This window comes from Homo sapiens, chromosome 7 (assembly GCF_000001405.40).
Source record: "Homo sapiens chromosome 7, GRCh38.p14 Primary Assembly".
NCBI lineage: Eukaryota > Metazoa > Chordata > Mammalia > Primates > Hominidae > Homo > Homo sapiens.
Genome location: NC_000007.14, coordinates 106653328 through 106673026, shown reverse-complemented (window position 1 = coordinate 106673026; position 19699 = coordinate 106653328). Strand labels below are relative to the sequence as shown.

The 19699-nt window shown below is 39.5% G+C and overlaps 1 protein-coding gene across 1 annotated transcript, besides 3 other annotated features; it reads left to right on the top strand.

Moving 5' to 3' along the window:
* Positions 558-758: a silencer, noted in NCBI's record as "peak6673 fragment used in MPRA reporter construct". NCBI's record gives its function as "represses an SCP1 promoter by STARR-seq MPRAs in K562 erythroleukemia cells {active_cell/tissue: K562}" and the evidence as "EXISTENCE:reporter gene assay evidence [ECO:0000049][PMID:32103011]".
* CCDC71L (coiled-coil domain containing 71 like) lies at positions 11869-18667 on the top strand. Its single transcript, NM_175884.6, has one exon. The coding sequence runs from the start codon at positions 12131-12133 to the stop codon at positions 12836-12838; it is 708 nt and encodes a 235-aa protein (NP_787080.2). The 5' UTR covers positions 11869-12130; the 3' UTR covers positions 12839-18667.
* Positions 12426-12695: a silencer, noted in NCBI's record as "silent region_18535". NCBI's record gives its function as "represses an Ori minimal core promoter by ATAC-STARR-seq in GM12878 lymphoblastoid cells {active_cell/tissue: GM12878}" and the evidence as "EXISTENCE:reporter gene assay evidence [ECO:0000049][PMID:35858748]".
* Positions 13046-13095: an enhancer, noted in NCBI's record as "active region_26487". NCBI's record gives its function as "activates an Ori minimal core promoter by ATAC-STARR-seq in GM12878 lymphoblastoid cells {active_cell/tissue: GM12878}" and the evidence as "EXISTENCE:reporter gene assay evidence [ECO:0000049][PMID:35858748]".

The following is a 19699-nucleotide window of genomic DNA, read 5'->3' as shown; positions in this document are numbered from 1 at the left end:
AAGGTCTTCTCTACACTGTTTAGTCTAGTTAGCCATACGTCTAACCTTTTTTCAAGGTTTTTTGCTTCCTTGTGATGGGTTAGACCACGCTCCTTTACCTTGGAGAAGTTTGTTATTACCGACCTTCGGAAGCCTACTTCTGTCAACTCATGAAAGTCATTCTCTATTTGTAGGAGAAGAGGCGCTCTGATTTTTAGAATTTTCAGCTTTTCCTGCTCCGGTTTCTCCCCATCTTTGTGGCTTTATCTACCTTTGGTCTTTAATGTTGGTGACCTGCAGATGGGGTTTTGGCGTGGATGTCCTTTTTGTTGATGTTGATGCCATTCCTTTCTGTTTGTTAGTTTTCCTTCTAACAGTCAGGTCCCTCATCTGCAGGTCTGTTGGAGTTTGCTGGAGGTCCACTCCAGACCTTGTTTGTCCGGATATCACCAGTGGAGGCTGCAGAACAGCAAATATTGCAGAACAGCAAATATTGCTGCCCGATCCTTCCTCTGCAAGCTTTGTCTCAGAAGGGCACCTATCTGTATGAGGTGTCAGTTGGCCCCTACTGGGATGTATCTCCCAGTTAGGCTACATAGGGGTTAGGGACCCACTTGAGGAGGCAGTCTGTCTGTTCTCAGAGCTCAAATGCCATGCTGGGAGAATGACTGCTCTCTTCAGAGCTGTCAGACAGGGACGTTTAAGTCTGCAGAAGTTGCCTGCTGTCTTTTGTTCAGCTATGCCCTGCCCACAGAGGTGGAGTCTCTAGAGGCAGTAGGCCTTGCTGAGCTGTGGTGGGCTCCACCCAGTTCAAGCTTCCTGGTCACTTTGTTTACCTGGTCAAGCCTCAGCAGTGGTGGACGCCCCTCCCCCAGCCAGGCTGCCGCCTCGCAGTTTGATCTCAGACTGCTGCACTAGCAGTGAGCAAGGCTCCATGGGTGTGGGACCCGCTAAGCCAGGCATGGGAGAGAATCTCCTTGTCTGCCGCTTGCGAAGACCTTGGGAAAAGCCCAATATTTGGGCAGAAGTGTCCCATTTTTCCAGGTACAATCTGTCATGGCTTCCCTTGGCTAGGAAAGGGAAATCCCCCGACCCTCTGTGCTTCCCGGGTGGGGCAATGCCCCACCCTGCTTTGGCTCACCTTCCACGGGCTGCACCCACTGTCCAACCAGTCCCAATGAGATGAACCAGGTAGCTCAGTTGGAAATGCAGAAATCACCCGTCTTCTGCATCGATCATGCTGGGAGCTGCAGACTGGAGCTGTTCCTATTCAGCCATCTTGGAACCACCCAGTCAACCTCCTTTTATAAATGGGGCGAGTGCTGCTCTTTGAATCAGAAAACTGTGATTCAGGATTCAGCTTTATCACTTTACTGGAGCATGTCAATTAGCAACTGGAGCACCTTACTTAGCTTCACCTGAAGCTCATCCATAAAATGAGAATATTTTTTCTTGTTTCCCTCATCTGGCTCTTTGAAGATCACATCAGATAAAGTATTCTTTAAACTTTAGTGTACTACCTTCAGAGAAAATACTAAGGTATTATTGCTACATGCAATTACAAGTAAAAAGATGAATAGAACACAGCATTACTGTGAGGGAATTTATAATCTAGATGATTCACAATTATTCTTCTTCTCTAACAGAATTGAGAGATACAACCCATCCCCGCCAGTAACAGTGGTTCTTCTAGGGGTGAGGGTAAGGTGAGGGTGTGGGTGGGTGGGGAAGTGTGCTGTAAGAGAAATGAAAATGAAAATGCCACAGCCTTCACAGAAGGAAGAGAACATATAGGGACCAATGGCTTTGTTGAGCCTCAAAGGATGGGTAAAATTTGGAAAGGGGAAAGAATAGTCTCTGTGTGCCCAGCTGTAAAGTGGGGCATATAGAATAGTACTTACCTCAAGGGACTGCTGTGAGATTACATGAAGTAATCCATGTGAAGTATGGAGCACAGAGTCTGACATAGAATATGAGTATTCACATATGTTACACCTGTATGATTCCTAGTTAAACCTATAGCTCTGTAGACAGAAAAATGGTGCCCCAGAGATGTTCATATCTTAATTCCTGAAACATGCAAATATATTAAGTTACATGAAAAAGGGGAATTAAGGTTTCAGATGGAATTGAGGTTGCTAATGAGCTGAACTTATAATAGATTATCTTGGATTGTCTGATAGGCCCAATCCAATCACAAGGGTCTCTAAAAATGCAAGAAGGAAGCAGAAGAGGAGAGTCAGAGGGAGATGTGACTATTCAAGGATGGTCAGAGAGATTTAACATTGCTAGCTTTCAAGATGGAGGAAGGAAGCCATGAGCCATGGAATGTGGGTGGTCTCTAGAAACTGGGACATGTGAAGAAACAGATTCACCTCTTCAACCTCCAGAAAAGAACACAGCCCTGCTGACATCTTCGTTTTAGCCCAGTAAGATCTACATTAAGGCTGGGCATGGTGGCTCATGCCTATGATCCCAACACCTTGGGAGGCCAAGGTGGGAGGATGGCTTGAGCCAAGGAATTTGAGACCAAGCTGGGCTATATAATGAGCCCTCATCTCTAAAAAATTTTAAAAATTAGCTGAGTATGGTGCATGCCTGTAATCCCAGCTACTCAGGAGGCTTAGGTGGGAGGATCACCTAAGCCTGGGGAGACAGGGATGTAATGAGCCGAGATGGTGCCCTGCCCTCCAACCTGGGAGACAGAGTAAGACCTTGTCTCAAAAAAAATATTGAACTTCTGACCTCAAGAATGATGGCAAAATGATAAATTTGTGTTGTTTTAAGCCACCAAGTTTGTGGTAACTAATATACTAGTCTATAAGCATCATGAAGCAAATTCCTGACACAATTTGCTCACAGTTTAGTCCCAGCTTTCCAGCTATAGCAGATTCTCAATAAGTTATTTGAATGACTGAATTAATAGGCATTCTAGGAACATGTTGAGGTAAAGTTTGGTGGGAAGTTTTGCTCTGGCCTAGGCATAAATGGGTCCTAAAAGCTGGATAGTGTCATAATTTGAAGGCTTTTGAATAGCAGCTTACAGAGTTTGTTCTCAATTTGGTAGGCAAAGTAGATCCACTCAGGATTTCTGAGCACTAAAGGGACAGGATTGTGTTTTAGGGGTTTAATCTGGGTGGTATTGAGTAAAAAATTTTTTAAGATTATTTTATGATTCTGGAATTTTATACGCCTACTTATGCATCCTACTTATGTGTCTAAAAGCATCATATTGTTTTTAAAGTAATAATATGAATTTGTCGACTCTTGTTTAATTATAGTACTTAGATCTTTTTTCCATGTTTATGGTTTAATATGTTAATATTCTTCTAATCTGATACTAATAGTGTCAAACTGGCTAATTATTTTTGCATGTAATTAGAGTGGAGCTCCAAAATTATTAAGAGAGAGGAGAGTACAAGTGTGGTCCACTGTTGATATCAAATAGTCTGAGACCTTATAAAAAATTATGGGATGACTTCATTTTATTTTTAATAGGTTTATCAGGTTTAGTAGGTTAGGGGAAAACTCATAGACACAGCATATTTTGATTTCAACAAAATTTGACAATGTTTCTTTTAATATCTTCCTGGATAATAAATTGTGATCTGGGTGATAATAACAAAAGTCTTGAGGCTAGTGAGCCAACCGTAAGCAAAAAGTGCTTACAGATGGGTGTGTGTCAGTATGATCAAGTCTCCAGTAGAGTGACACAGGTCTTTGTCATTGAGTCTGTTCCAACCGGTAGTGCCATTGGTGACTTGGTTTAAGGTGGAAGGATGCTGGTCTAATTTACTAAAAGGATTAATCAAAATCAGATATTATAGAATTTAGATCCAAGAGTACCACAGTAGGTAGGAATGTTGTACTGAAATCAACAAAATGAAATTTAACAGAGATAAATGTAAAGTCATCTAAGTCAGGGGTTGCCGACCCATGGGCCGTGGACTGGTACCAGTCTATGACTTGTTAGGAGCCAGTCTGCACAGCAGGAAGTGAGCAGCAGGTGAGCAAGCATTACTCTCTGAGCTCTGCCTCCTGTCAGATCAGCAGTGGCATTAGGTTCTCATAGGAGCATGATCGCTATTGTGAACTGCACATGCAAAGGGATCTGGGTTCCATGCTCCTTATGAGAATCTAACTAATGTCTAATGATCTGAGGTGTCCGTGGAAAAAATGTCTTCCACAAAACTGGTCCCTGGTGCCAAAAAAGTTGGAGACCCTGCTCCAAGTACAGTATAGTTCAGGGCACACTTAATTTTGCAGTAATTCATATGGGAAAAAATGGTTTCTAGTTGGCTTTAAATTTAATATGAGTTAACAATATAAAGAAATTTCTTACATTGCAGTTTTGACATAATCTAAAATTTACTTTTGGAGATTGGTTCTATGAAGTTCTAGGAGACAGGGCAATGGGTAAAAGAAAACAGAACTAGGTTTTGGACTAAACGTGAAAAGAAACCTTTTTCCCTTTGTTCCTTAGGATTTTGGTTAATATCAGGCCTAGCTAATTTCAGGTCTGGCCAATTTCTTGGTCCATTTCCAATTTGGGCAATTTCTGATCAATCACTAATAAATAAGCACTGATACAAAATATTATGTTATAGCCTAATCCTTTTGGTTTGTTTTCCCTTTATTCTGTTTTGCATTTCTCTATTTTTTTCTTTCCGTGCATTAAACTTTTTTTAGAATTCTATTTTGATTTATCTGTAATGTTTTTGAACATATCCTTCTATAGCTTTTTCAGTGGTTGCTCTAGGTGTTACACTATACAGTTGACCCTTGAACAACACAGATTTGAACTGTGAGAGTCCACTTCTATATGGATTTTTTTAAATTAAAGTTACAAGCGTGCCTGCCTTTCCTGTTTTCCGTACCACCCTCTCCACCTCTTTTCACCTCTGCCACCTTGAGACAGCAAGACCAATCCCTCTTCTTCCTCTTCTTCCTCAGCCTACTCAATGTGAAGATGAAGATGAAGAGGAAGAAGACCTTTATGATGACCCACTTCCACTTAATGAATAGTGATGTGATTAATAGTGATTAATGAATATGATGACTCTTCCACATGATTTTCTTTTTTTTTTTTTTTTTTGAGACGCAGTTTTGCCCTGTTGCCCAGGCTGGAGTGCAGTGGCGCGATCTCGGCTCACAGCAAGCTCTGCCTCCTGGGTTCACACCATTCTCCTGCCTCAGCCTCATGAGTAGCTGGGACTACAGGCGCCCACCACCACGCCTGGCTAATTTTTTGTATTTTTTTTTTTTTTTAGTAGTGATGGGGTTTCACTGTGTTAGCCAGGATGGTCTCGATCTCCTGACCTTGTGATCCGCCTGCCTTGGCCTCCCAAAGTGCTGGGATTACAGGCCACATGATTTTCTTAATAACATTTTCTTTTCTTTAGTTTGCTTTACTGTAAGAATACAGTATATAGTATTTATGCAAAATATTGTTAATCAACTCTTTATGTTATTGGTAAGGTTTCTAGTCAACAGTTAGGCTGTTAGTAGTTAAAATTTTAGGGAATCAAAAGTTAAACTTGGATTTTCAACTGCATAGGGAGTCAGTGCTTCTAATCCCCACATTGTTCAAGGATTAACTGTATATACATAACTTATCCCAGACTACTGGTGTCGTTTTTACCAATTCTAGTGAAATATAGAAACCTTATCTTTCTTTATGTCTGTTTATCCTGACTCTTAACATATTTGTTTAAAATATTTTGTCTACATACATACAGAGCCACATCAGTGTTACTAATTTTCACTTCAACCATTGGATTGGTCTGCTTGGGCTGCCATAATAAAATATCACAGACTGTGTGGCTTAAAAAATAGAAATTTATTTTCTCATAGTTCCAGACATGGGGAAATCTAAGATCAAGGTGCCAACCAATTTGGTTCCCTGTGAAGGCTCTCTTCTTGGCTTGCAGATGGCTGCCTTCTTACTGTATCCTCATATAGTGGCAAAGGAGAGACCTCTGACATCTTTCTTTTCTTATAAGAGCACCAGCCCTTCTGGATTAGGGTCCTACTCTTATGACCTTTATTTAACCTTTATCACCTCCTCATAGGCCCTATCTCCAAATACAGTCACACTGGGGATTAGGGCTTCAAGATATAAATTTTGGGAGGACACAAATATTCAGTCCATAACAACCATCAAACATAATTTTGAAAACTAAAGAGGAGAAGGAAAGTCTATTCTGTTTACCCAAGTTTTTGCTTACCATGTTCTTTCTTCTATTCTAATATTCCAAGAATCCTTCTTTTATTGTTTCCTTTCTATTTAGAGAACTTCTGCTAGTCATTCTTTAGCGTAGGTCCACTGGCAACAAATACTCTGTTTTCCTTCATGTGAGAATGTCTTGATCTTCTTTTCATTCTTAAAGGATTATTTCACTCAATATAGGAATTTGAGTTGACAGTTCTTTTCTTTCAGCATGTGAAAAAAGGCCACTTCCTTCTGGCCTCCATGGTTTCTGATGAGAAATCTGCTGTCATTTGAATTGCTTTTCTCTCGTAAGTAAACTGTTGTTTTTATCTAGCTGTTTTCAGTATTTTTTCTTGGATCTTAATCTCCTTGGATTAAGTACAAACTTAACTTAATCCAATCTCTAGTTTTCAGAAGTTTGACTTTGATGTTTCTTTTTTTTTTTTTTTTTTTTTTTAAGACAGAGTCTCTCTCTCTGTTGCCCAGGCTGGAGTGCAGTGGCACCATCTTGGCTCACTGCAAGCTCCACCTCCTGGGTTTATGCCATTCTCCTGCCTCAGCCTCCCGAGTAGCTGGGACTACAGGCGCTTGCCACCATGCCTGGCTAATTTTTTATATTTTTAGTAGAGATGGGGTTTCACTGGGTTAGCCAGGATGGTCTCGATCTCCTGACCTTGTGATCTGCCCCCCTTGGCCTCCCAAAGTGCTGGGATTATAGGCCTGAGGCACCATGCCCAGCTGACTTTGATGTACCTTGATGTAGATTTCTTTGGGTTAATCTTATTTGGGTTTGTTCTTGAATCTGTGGATTTATGTCTTTTGCAAATTTGGAACATTTTCAGCCATTCTTTCTTTAAGTAATTTTTCCAGCCTCATATTTTTTCTCCTCTCTTTCCAGATCTCTAATGACACAAATATTAGATCTTATAGTCCCAGAGGCCCCTGAGGGCTTTTGAAAAAATCAGCCTATTAGTTCTCTGTTCAGGTTGGATAATATCTATTATTCTATCTTCAAGTTCACCAATTATTTCCTCTGTCCTCTATTCTAATGTTGAGCCCATCCACTGAGCTTTTTATGTTGGTGGTTGTATTTTTTTTTCACTTCTAAAATTTTCATCTAGTTCTTTTTTATATCTCTTGATTCTTTGCTGAGATTTTCTATTTCTTTGAAGTAGCTTTGTATTTTTCATTTAAGAGTGTTCATAATTGCTTATTGAAATATTTTTTGATGGCTGCTTAAAATCTTTTTTATATAATTCTAACATCTTTCTCATCTCAATGTTGGCATCTACTGATAATCTTTCTTCATTCAGTTTGAGAGCTTTCTGGTAAGTAATTTCTTATTGAAACCTGAATGTTTTGGGTATTACATTATACAACTCTGGATCTTATTTAAATGTTTTAGCTGTTTTTCTGACACTGTCCTAATGGGGGTGGGGTGGGCACTGCCTCAATACTGCCAAGTCAGAGTCCAGATTTCTCCTCTGTTTCCACTGATACCTGAAATGGGGAAAGGAGCCCCTCATTACTGCTGAATGGGGGTAGGAATTCTGGCTTCTCACTAGGGCCGAGAAGGTGGGTAGGATTGTCTTGTTATATTCACCACATGGTCTCCACTGACACCATGGGTACAGATTGCCTGTTTACTGCCCAACAAGGATTAAAGTCCTGATTTCTTATCCAGCCTCCTCTCATACCACCCTAGCAGAGGTGGTGGGGGTGCCTTTTTATAGCCTGGCAAGGGTAGAAGTCATAATTTTTTTCTATGGTGTTTTGCAGCAGTAGGAAAATTATTTTCTAAAAGCTTTCCGTTTTGTTAGGCTGCCCCTCCTTTCCCGGTCCTGTAGCTAGAGAGAAGAAGATTTTGTTGGGGCTTTTTATGTTTGCATCTGTTGGCATTTTGGGGTTGTTGGCTTGTCTAGCACCCAGTCTCAGATTTGCTAGAAAAAGAGAAAAGAAGAAGAAAGGAGACCCAGGGAACTCACTGCCATGCCCTTCTTTGGGTTCTCTGAGGTCTCCAGCCTGTCTGCCTTCTCTTCTCCATTTTTCAGAGTCTTCTTATGTATACTTTATATATAACATCCAAGGTTTTTAGTTGCAATTAGCGGGAAAAATAGGGAAAGTACAGGTATTCCTATAAGCAAAAGAAAGTCCTATCCTCTCAGTTTATATGGTCTTTATGTTTTTCACATTAAGCCGTTGCAGAGCATATCAGGGTTTGAGCTAACTTTTGTATAAAAATCTAAATTACTTTTAGAATAGGTCTAATGACAAGGCTGAGTTTTTTCTTGCTGAATCATGCTATATTTAACATCATTTAAGCCAGCAATTAATGCTATCTCCTTGGTTAAGTACAAAATGTAGAATGTTAGAAACAATTCTGAACTAGAGTTAGAGATCTACGTTCTAGCTCAGAATCTTCCACTGTACAGCTCTGTGACCTTAGGCAGATCTCTTGGCATCTCAGAATTCTCATCTGAATTAACAATGTTGGACTCATTAGATGATCTCTAAGTTTCTTCTAGCTGTAAAGTTTTTATTTTCCTCTCATCAATGCCACTACTTTAAAAAAATATGTAGACATTCTGTAATACAGGGCTTAAAATATATTGATTAAACCAAGTAAAATCCTCAAAAATAAATAAGACAAATAGGAATAGCTTTTATTGAATGCTGTGTTCCAGGCACTACAGTAAGTGTTTTATGAATATTCTCTCGTCCAGTTCTTAAAACTTTGAAGTTAGAAGTTATACTCATTTTATAGATGAGAATGCTGAGACTCAGAAAGGTGAAAAATGTGTCTAAGAATATTTTTTTGTAAAGATATAATTGACCCCAAGTTTATTTGATTCCAGAGCTGATGTTTGCAACCACTTATATAGATTTTCAAAATTTTTTTGGCCACTTTTCAAGAGGCAGATTATTTTATAGAAATTGGATTCTAAAGCAATACTTCTGGGTAGCTAAAAGATACATTTTATTTAATTTTTCCCATCACTTTATTCGGCTTGGATTTATTTTTTAACTACATAAATATTGAATACAGAAAGTAAATACATACAGCTTTTTTTTGTTTATTATTATTCATCACTTATTTAGCAGACATAGGAGGCATTATTACCCTTGAGAGGTAAAGGAATAAACTAAGGGTTGTAAAATATCGTTACTCAAGAGCAAAAATTTAATTTGCCAACTTTCCATAAACTTCATAGTATCTCAAGTCTCAGGAACTAGAAGAGATACATTATTTCTATGTGTAAATTTTGCTTATTTATGGAGAACAGATAAGGAACCATTTGCAAGACTATTAGAGTTAATTAAAAGGTGGAGGTCAAGAAAAAATTAAAAATAATAGAGGAAACAGAATAGAGCAAATAATGTCAAATTTAAATGTATACGATAACATAAGCACTTTATCATGATATTAGTTCCTAAAAGTATTTCATAAAAAATATTGTTTGGTTTTAAGTAAATTAAATGAGCATGCATTATAAAATGAACTCTTGAATACTTGGCAAGTTGAGATCTTATGTTTTCTTAGAACCAAAATTGTGTTTAAAAAAGGTTTATCTTCTTAATTGAAATAAGTTCTATACATTTATGTAAATGTCTGGAATATATTTATGTGGTAAAGACCCTGAAGAATTTATAAAATGATGATTATCAAGGAAGGGAGGGGATTCCAATATGAAAAGCCAGGTCTACTTTAATCCTTGTTTTATCCTTGCTTTTCATTATGAAGCCCCCCTAACTTTCTCATGGCTCACTCTAGATTTTGGGTATTCCAATGGAAATTATTCAAATTTCACTTTACTATGTGTCTCAGAATTACGGAAAGAGCAAATTGTGATGTAAAGAGTTGTTGCTATATCATTCCTTTATAAGGATTTAGGAAGCTGGTATTTGGCTCTGTAATCTTGTTCTGAGATCAGAGTGTGCTTTTCTAGGAAAATGATTTTCTATTCAGAAAGTTACCATGATTTTGCTAGAGAGCTGGTTCCTGGTTAGATGTTTTATTTTTGCCATAAGCCCATTGTGTGGAGTTTTATTTTTGCCATAAACTCATTGTGTGGTGAGAGCTTTCAAGAATTTGACATCTCTGGTGTAGAGCTTTCAAATTATTTATTTTAGGTTTTATTGAAACTGAACAAACAAAATATTATTCATAAATCTATTATAAGACAGAGAAAAACTGCTCAATTCTGGGTGGGGTGGAAGTAGGAATAGGGGTACAGCTCTGTCCTTCGTCATTCTACTTATGCATAAAGCATGTTCTATTGAATTCCTTAGAGTCTGGACAGCACAGTTTGAAAAACCTTCAGTGAAATACAAAGATCACTAGATTAGAAATCGAAGGATTTAGAATCCCAGTTCTGCTATCAGCCAGCTGTGTTACTGAACCTCTATGGTACAGATTTCCTCACCTGTTAAATAAGGAGAATGAACTAGGTCTCTTTCAGGTCAAATATTTGAGGAAACCATTAGCAACTACATGTAAATCACAAAACTCCTATACTTTATTTGTTCACTACTGCAAAATAAGATGTTTCCTGGGTAAAATCCACATGCCCACCTCAAAGTTCTAAGTGTCAGGAGATTTTTTCTTTTAACCTTAAGAAATTTAAAGGAGTTCTGTGAAAATTGCAATATAAAATATCTAATTGTCCTGTTCTAAGCAGTTTCAACATTTCTGACTCTATTTGGGATAATCGGTGGTATTTCATTGATTCATTCGGCAAACACATTGAGTGTCCACTACCTGACAGGAACTGAGTTAGGTATAGAGGACAGAAAAGATGACTAAAGGATGTCCACTACTCTCCTCCCAATACAAAAGGTAATGTGTTTTGAACAATTTGTGTTTTTCAACGAAACCTTATCTGTTGTCTGCGATGATGCATCCTTTCTAAATGATAGGGGTGGCTTTGACATTTTAAAACTAAATGAAAAACGAATTGGCATCCATAAAGAACTGTGTATTTAAAACTATATTTTCTTTTCACAGAATGGCTTTATTGTAATAGATCTTTGATCAACTTGAGCAAAGAGTATTTAGTTTTATAGGGTATGACATGTTTTGCTTTCTGGATAAGCAGGGTCTCTCTTAAATATGAAGATGGCTCCAGTGTCCAGAGGGAGACTAAAATCTCTCAGCTGCCAGCCACGCACATTACCTGAATGATTCTGGATTACTACTGGCTTCTTGAGATGGGCTGGGGTCAAGACAGGGAAGAGTTTTGAATGAAGATGCCAGAAGAGGCCTTTGAGAGGGTGGATGGGAATTGCGAAAGGCCCATTTCCCCTAGACTTAAACCCAAATTCCCTAGCTGTGATGATACCAGGAACATCCTTCAGGGAAATCTCCCTTTGTTATCCACACTGGTAGAGCTCCCAGCTCAATCCACAACTGCACACCCCCTCACTCTAAGAGTCACTCTTCCCATGGTGTAGCCAACATCCACCCTCTTACTCTAGACGTGGCAGCCCTCCTAGATCCACCCAACCGTTGACTTACGTTCAAAGGCCATCACCCACCCCAGCACCATCTTCCAGGAACTGGCCTCTCCCCCATCAGTCCCCGCCCCTCTTCTGAGAGCACCCAATGGGTGGAGTCGGGGCTGCGGTGGGAGGGGCCTGAGGCGGGCACATTTAAAGAAAGGCAGCCGGCGAAAAGAGGCAAGAGAGGAGAAGAAAGAGAAACCAGGGGGGCGAGGCGCCGTCCAATGACAAAGCCCAGGGGTGGGCGCCGGCCGCCATCTTGTACCGGGCAGCAGGATATTCGCCCGCGTCCTCCGCCCTCGGAGGGGGAGGGGCGGCGGCGGAGGCGAGAAAAGTAGCGAGAGACGCCAGCAGCAGCCGCCGCCGCGGAGCCAACGCGGACTGGGACGGCGGCGGCAGTAGTGGGACCCGGCGAGCGTGAGTGGCCCGGAGCGGCCTTCGATGCGGCGCAGTATGAAGAGGCGGCGGCGCCGGCGCCCGGTCGCCCCGGCCACGGCCGCCCGGGGCGGCGACTTTAGGGCAGAAGACGGGGCTGGGTTGGAGGCGCGGGAGGAGAAGGTGGTGTACTCGCGGTCGCAACTGTCGCTGGCTGACAGCACCAAGGCGCTGGGCGACGCCTTCAAGCTCTTCATGCCCCGCAGCACGGAGTTCATGAGCTCGGACGCGGAGCTCTGGAGCTTCCTCTGCAGCCTCAAGCACCAGTTCTCCCCGCACATCCTGCGCAGCAAGGACGTCTACGGCTACTCCTCCTGCCGGGCCCTGGTACCCGACCCCCCGGGGCCCCCTACAGCCCGCGGCCAGGCGCGCCGGCCGGTTCCGCGCGCAGCGGCCAGGAGGAGGCGCCGCGGAGCCCGGGCGGCCGCTGCCCGCAGGAGGAAGCCCCGGCCGCCACCCCCACCGCCGCCGCCCCCCGAGGAGAGCTGCCCGGCCAAGCCCGTGGCCCCCGGGCCCTGCTTCGGGGGCCGCACCTTGGAGGAGATCTGGAGGGCGGCCACCCCGACGCTGACCACCTTCCCCACCATCCGCGTCGGCAGCGACGTGTGGGGCGAGCGCAGCCTGGCGGCAGCGCGGCGCAGGGCGCGCCAGGTCCTGCGAGTGAACCTGGAACCCATGGTGAGGCTCCGCCGCTTCCCGGTGCCCCGGGCATGAGGTGCGGCCTCCAGGGCGCCTCCTGCCGGCCCCGACCTTGGGACAGGCCTTCCGCCCGGAGGAATGAACAAGTGTCAGTCGAGTGTTTACAGATCCGGCCAGGACCCCGGCCCCCAATGCACTTTACGCGCGAAGAAGTTGCCGGATGGTTGTCCCTGTCCCGGGCCGCGGCGCGGTCGTCTTGGACGCTGGGGCAGGTGTGCCCTCTGCTGCCTCCCGTACCCGGCCTGCGGAGGGAGGGGACAGCTGGACCCGCAGGGGAGGTCCCTTTCTTCCTGACCACCGATTGAGACGTCTCCAGGACCTTAGGGGCAGATCCGTTTTCTCACTGTTGGACTCTACCTCACTGGTCTGGAAGTCCTCCGAAGACATTATTTTTCCAAAGGAATTTGGTTTCGTGCTTGTGTAATAAAGCCAGAATTTACTTGTTCTTTATCTCCCCCTTTTTCTATTTCACTGTCACCCCTCTTTGTGGACAGAAGTTCGAACATGTGGTGTTGCACTAGTTTGTGCTCAGGGTATTCTGAAGCCCACTCGTTTCCTAATTTTTACTGGATTCCAAAGCTTTGATCGAGGATATTTTTTAAGAGGTTCAAGCTTGTGACTGTTAGTAGTGCAAGGATTTGTATGGGCTCAGTGATTACAAACAAAGACATGCAAAATACAACTGTTTAAACATTTTCAAGGTATTTTTAAAGGTTTTGTATTGAAACAATGTTTATATTTACTGAGCTCCTAAAAATGGTAGAATACACATGAAAACTTTTGTTTAGGAAAAGTTAACTTGTTAAATTCTTTTGAATTGAATAAAAAAATGCATTGAAACCATATGGTGTGTGATTAAAAAAAATGAATAAATTGTGAAGAACTGGTTTTGGTTACAGGAGTCACTGGAATCCGACTGGAGATGATTTGGCCCCCTGTCCTGGTCTAACATACAAATCTAGGAATATTATGCGTTAAAGTATTTTAAAATACATTATCCTTGTAATGTATTTTACAAGGATAATGTATTTTAAAATGGGAGTTGCATAGGAGAGATGGATGTGTGTAAACATTATCACTAAAATGATAAACAGAATACCCATTAGAATTCTTAGAACTATTAATGATCAAGAGGGGTGGAGGCATTTCTTGGTATCAAATAACTGGTTAAGGTTACTTTGGGCGAAATCTATTTCCTTTTTGTTTTTGTTGTTGGATAACAAGAAATGTCTAGACTAATATTCATCAGTTTTACAAACATAATGAAAATTAGTTGATTTTTAGTTGATTTTTTTGTCCCAACATTTTTTTTAACCTTTTTGCCACTCATTATATGTTTGCAGTTCTAGGTCTTTGACAGCTGAAGACCACAGGAATCAAACAGGCGAGACACACAGAATACTGACCCTTCTTTACGCTTTTATAGTGTTTATACCATATGGCCCAGTGTGGAATTCTTGATTATCCAAGTGCCTTTGGTCATTTGTGGCAGGAAAACTTAATAGTTTTTAGCCAGCAGTGCCACAGCCAGCTTTTACTGCAATACCTAAAGGGTCAAGTAGTGTTTTTGTACCACTATTATTTCAAATTTAAGTATTCTGCCATGAAACGATCCATACTGGGCTGGAACTTGACATGTGAAATCTTTAATACTAAAGCTTATCTCTGCTTGGCAGCTTTTTAGGAGAATAATGAGAGTTACAATTTTGACTCTTGCGTTCCTAGAATTCAAATGGCATAGCTTTCTGAAATGAGTATTTCAAGTTTAGTAGTCCGTATAGGAGTGTTGTGACTTCAATTTCAGTGTTCTTGTTAAAAGAAATAATATGATATATATATACACACATATATATAACTTGATGCCAGTTTTCTAGTAAGCCTCAGTCTTTTATTCACTACTCAATGATAATGCATTGTACAAACACTGTCACATGAGTAAATAAAAATGAATAATTCCTTAGAAGATGGAGAGTGTTAAATTATATTTGTGATAGGAAGCTTAGACATATCTTTTGGTTATTAGCTTCCATTGCCAATTGTATTTCAGATGCATAGGGTTTTCTTCCCAAAAATATATTGTTAACTTTTATAGCTAACTAGCACCTGGAAAAAATGTATTTGTACAACTTTACTATTGTATATAGTTTTATAATAATGAAAAATAAACCCAATGGCCATATTAGAATGCAATTTCGACATACAGCTTATCTAGATAGTTTTCCAGAGGATTTTGAAATTTGGCTTAACTGGGAGGATAACTGCTCAGCACACCACTGAAACATAACCACTGACACCATTCATTTATTTTAACTGAGATTCTTGACATTTTTCTCTCCTATGCCTTGTTACTTTAGCATACTTGAACTCACATAAATGCTTCTTTGGATTACATGGGCTATCTGATTCCATTTTGGATCTGATTGTCCATCTTGAATTCAATATGGTATTCATCTGGACTATTCAAAAATTATGCCATTTCTAGTCTGTGAAATAAGATGTAAAAAATCTTTATTTTTGCCCTTTGGTAAAAACCTATGTGACAACTTTTAAAATGTGAAGCAACATCTAATATAGTTGACTGGTATACTAATAGGAAAGTGAAAGTATTTCATGGGTACTTTGTCACAGAATGTGAAAAGAAACTTGGCATAGTGGCCTTTATAATGAGGCATCCACTTACTCCTCTGAAGTGAAGTCTGTAGCTTAGCTTGTGTATAGTTTTTGAAAGAAATCTCATGATCTTCGTTCATTCTCTTGCCTTCTCTTTTATCTCATATGGCACAAGTAGAGGGGGAAGCCAGGAGGAAATTCATCACCTCGCTATGCTTTTATTTGATTTTTAATTCCTGAGTGCCTAAATGTGGTGACCGGCACCTCACATAACTTTTTGAGATTCTTGATGTCATTTTTATCCTTCCTGTCAACCAGCAATGTATTTTTATGTTACTAAAACCAGTAACGTCATAATTGTTGAGGGCAAGCTTCATTGTTGATAGTGCAAAGTGTCGCTGTTGTGATGTGTGTTTATTTTATTCAAGTTTGAATATTGACAAGTGTAACTTAAGCTGGTGACTGACACCTATTGATCTGCTGTGTGCAAATGATAGTACTATTTTTTAGAAAACTCTTAAGTAAATTTTAAAAATATTTGAATACAAAATATCTGAGCAATTTTGAACTCAAAAGTTTTTCATTGTTTTAAGGATTGCCACAGGACTCTTTAATGGTTTTTAATGGACATACATGCCTAATATTTATTGGTGTGTTTAAAATATTTTTTGATAGAGTGTTATGTCTTAAGCGCATTAGAAAACAATTGTTTGTAATGGAATCAAAGTGTTTCCCTGGACAGTTTGATGTGCTTATGGTTGAGATTTATAATCTGCTTGTACTTTGCTTTTTAACTTATTAACTGTAAATAAATTTTAGAGAATACATAGTGTCTAGTTTTTCTAATGATTTGAACATTTTTGAAATGGTATTTTGTATTTGTATGTGACTCAGAAAACATCTTAATTTACAATTTGATAAATTTTGACTTTTTTGTGAACTTCAAATTCCCAGAAATCTCGAGATTTGTTTTTTGTGCTATCTCGGGAGTCTGTGTTCCATCAATTCTTTAATTATCTAGCGAATTTTTAGGATGGCGCTACAAGCCCAACTTATTAACCAGTTTGCCAGCAATAAAATATCCTACAAAAAAAAAATGCATCAAAATTCAGAATTCTCTAAATCCTGACCCGAGGTGCCCCTGTGACGATGACAAAAGGTCTAAAGCTCTTGCTCTTTCATGGCATGAAAGGAAGTAAGAGTGCTCCATTTGAGTACCAGTGGTATGGGCTGTTCCACAGAATAAGGGCAGGGCTAGAATTTTCATTAGAGTCTAGAAGGCAGAAGTGGAGTATTAGTGAACAGCACAGCAAGAGCCGGATTCATAGATAGTACTGTGTGGGCTGAATTTGTCTTTGTACCTAAGTTCCTATTAGTTGGAGGAAGCGTAGTGTAATAGTTGTGGAGTCACAGTGCCTGGGGTGGAATTATTATGCATACCTTTGTGACTTGCAAGTGTTGAGACTGTAGGTAAGTTACTTAAAATCTTTGTGCCTTGCTTCCTCAACTATCAAATGTGATTAGTGAAAGAAACTATTGGGATATTATAAGGATTAATAACTACCCCTTTCAAAGGGTAGTAATGCTAGACACATAGGAAGTACTAAATAAATGCTCTTAATTATAGGTATGCACAGTGAGAATAGGTATATAAGCTGAGAGTGGTCCGTTGTGAGTTTAGCTCTCCAGGTTTCTCAGCATCCCAAGAATATTGTGTGGCTCTGGGAAAGCTGTAAGATAAATGAAGAGAAGAGAATTTGTGCATGAATAAAATTGAAGACATAAGGAAATCATATAATTTTTTAGCTTGCTGACTATGCAGTAGGAGATTGGATTAAGTTGATTTATTACAATTTTTGTTGTTGGAGTTTTTTTAAAGATTCACATCTTCTTTTGTTATATCTCTATAAGACATTTGAATGTACTGTTATGTGTTTTAAACTATCTGAGAATTTATAACAGTAATAGATTTAAAGCTGTTGATCCAAGAACTTACAAAAGTTTTGGACTACATATTTGCTTAGAGTAAGCTCAGTAAGTGTTGCTTATAAATGATGTTAATTTATATGCATAGAACCAAGCTATAGTTTGTATAAAGTTTATAATTCAGGTGTTAAAGGAAACAAAGTGAGTACAATAGCTGTGCTTGAAACACCAGAAAATTATTACTGAAAGTAAAAAAAATCTTGTATTTGAAGCATTGACACACTCATTTTTGGATGTCAGATATAAAGCCTGTAATTTAGGTTTAATTCCTCATAGCACAGAGAATAGAACATCCTCTAAATTGGTGAACAAGCCAAAGTTGCAGTTATCTGAAGTTGACACAAAATAATTTCCTGGAAAATTATTAGATGAAAGTCATACAAGAACAAGAAGCTAAAAATTGAGCCTAATTGCAGATTTCACAGAAGTAATGACTTCTCACTGTCATCACTCTCTTGTGTCTTGGTAAATGTCATTCTAAACCATGATCTATAACATAATAAACATATCTAAAGCCCAATTGGAAAGTAATAATCATAAAAACACCAAACACTATGTTTAGCCCAGAAAATTTGAATAAGTAGTCTACTGAATCCAAAACTGGACTTATTTAGCTTCCGAAAGCATTCATAGAAAAGTTAAATTGAGATTCTTCCAAGTAGTACAATTAACTGTAAAATGTGTACATATTTCTCTTTTCAAGGATTTTTTTCAAGTACATATTCTTTAAAGAGTACAGAAAAAAAAAGAGTGTGGCTTAGGGTTCTAAATCTTACAGAGTAAAAAAATTATTGAAGCAAAAACAAATGTATAAAAAGTACATATAAACGTACAGTTTGATGAATTTTCATAAATTCAATAGGCTCATGGAACTAGCACTCAGATTAAAAAAATACAGTTATGAGTACCCCTGAAGTCCTCCCTAACACCCCATCAGCCATTACCTACTCACCTTCTTGCCCAAGATAACCATTATTTTGATTTCTTACAGCATATTTTTTGCTTATTTTTGAACTTTACATAAATGGAATTATTGGTCATGTGTCTAGCTTCTTTCACTTGAAATTATGTTTGTGAGATTCATTTATATTGTTGTGTGTACTATTATTGTAGATCATTTATTCTCATTGGTGTATAGAATTCCACTGTGTGAATATTCCACAATATATTTATTCCAGTCTTGGTGGGCATTTGGGTAGATTCCAGTTTGGAACAATTATAAATAAAGCTTTGATGAATATTCTAAAACATGTCTTTTGGTGAACATATGCATGTATTTTTTTTTGGAGTATATATCTAGGAATGAATTTGCTGAGACACTGGGTCACAGCAAATGATCATCTTTGGTAGATACTGCCAAACAGTTTTCCAAAGTGGATACATGGACTTTTATAAAACTGGCCTTCAAAAAGTTTGCTTTTTATTATTCTTCCTTTCTTCTTCAAAGCTAAAGAAGTTTTGTTCCTTCTGCTCTTAAAATGAAATGAAAAGACATTTTCCCCCTATGTTTTCCTATATTTTACAGCAGAGCTTTAGAAAAAAGTCTTTTATGTATTAAGTTGTTTTCTTCTCCATCCTTTATACAAAACCAGCTCTAAGATTGGGAATAACATTAACTATGTTAACCCAAGCCCAGCAAACTTAAACTGTCATAAAACCGAGCATTTGAGACTTGGGTTCATAGTGTTCCTCTTCTAGTCCTTGGGCAGGATTCCATTGAAATGATCTATAGTGTAATGGAGACCCTGTCTCTGGAAAGAACTGTCTGATTCAACCTTATATGTTGTTTATTTTAGAAAGCTAGACATTGAGAGGTCTAGGAGTTGGATGGCAGAGAGGGAGGGTTTGAAGATGTGCAGAATATTCAGGTTTGCTTGAAGTCAGCTGAGAAGAGGAGACTTTTATCTTGGGAGGTGCTGGCTCAGCAGGGTTCAACTCTCAATTGTTGTGAAATGAATGAAAAATGTACTCATGAGAGCCCACTTGAAGGATGCCTCCAGAACTCTAAAAGGAAGTTCTTCCTTTTCCTTATTAAGTAAAGCGTCTTGGAGGATATTTATTTTACCGTTGCATGTCCACAGTACTTCACACTGGGCAGTTATGTTGTTATTATTATACTTTCTTATGTATTTCTGTCATCTTCCCTAGATAGTGAATTTCTCATTGGCAGGACTCGTCTTTCTTGTCTCTGTATCATTACAACATTGCTGGTCTTGTGCATAGTGCTCAGTGGTGTTGAATGAATAAATTGTGTTTATGGAGTTCAGACAAACCTGCAAC

Coding starts and splice junctions, on each gene's coding strand:
- CCDC71L (NM_175884.6), top strand. CDS start 12,131: ATGCGGCGCAGTATGAAGAGGCGGCGGCGCCGGCGCCCGGTCGCCCCG.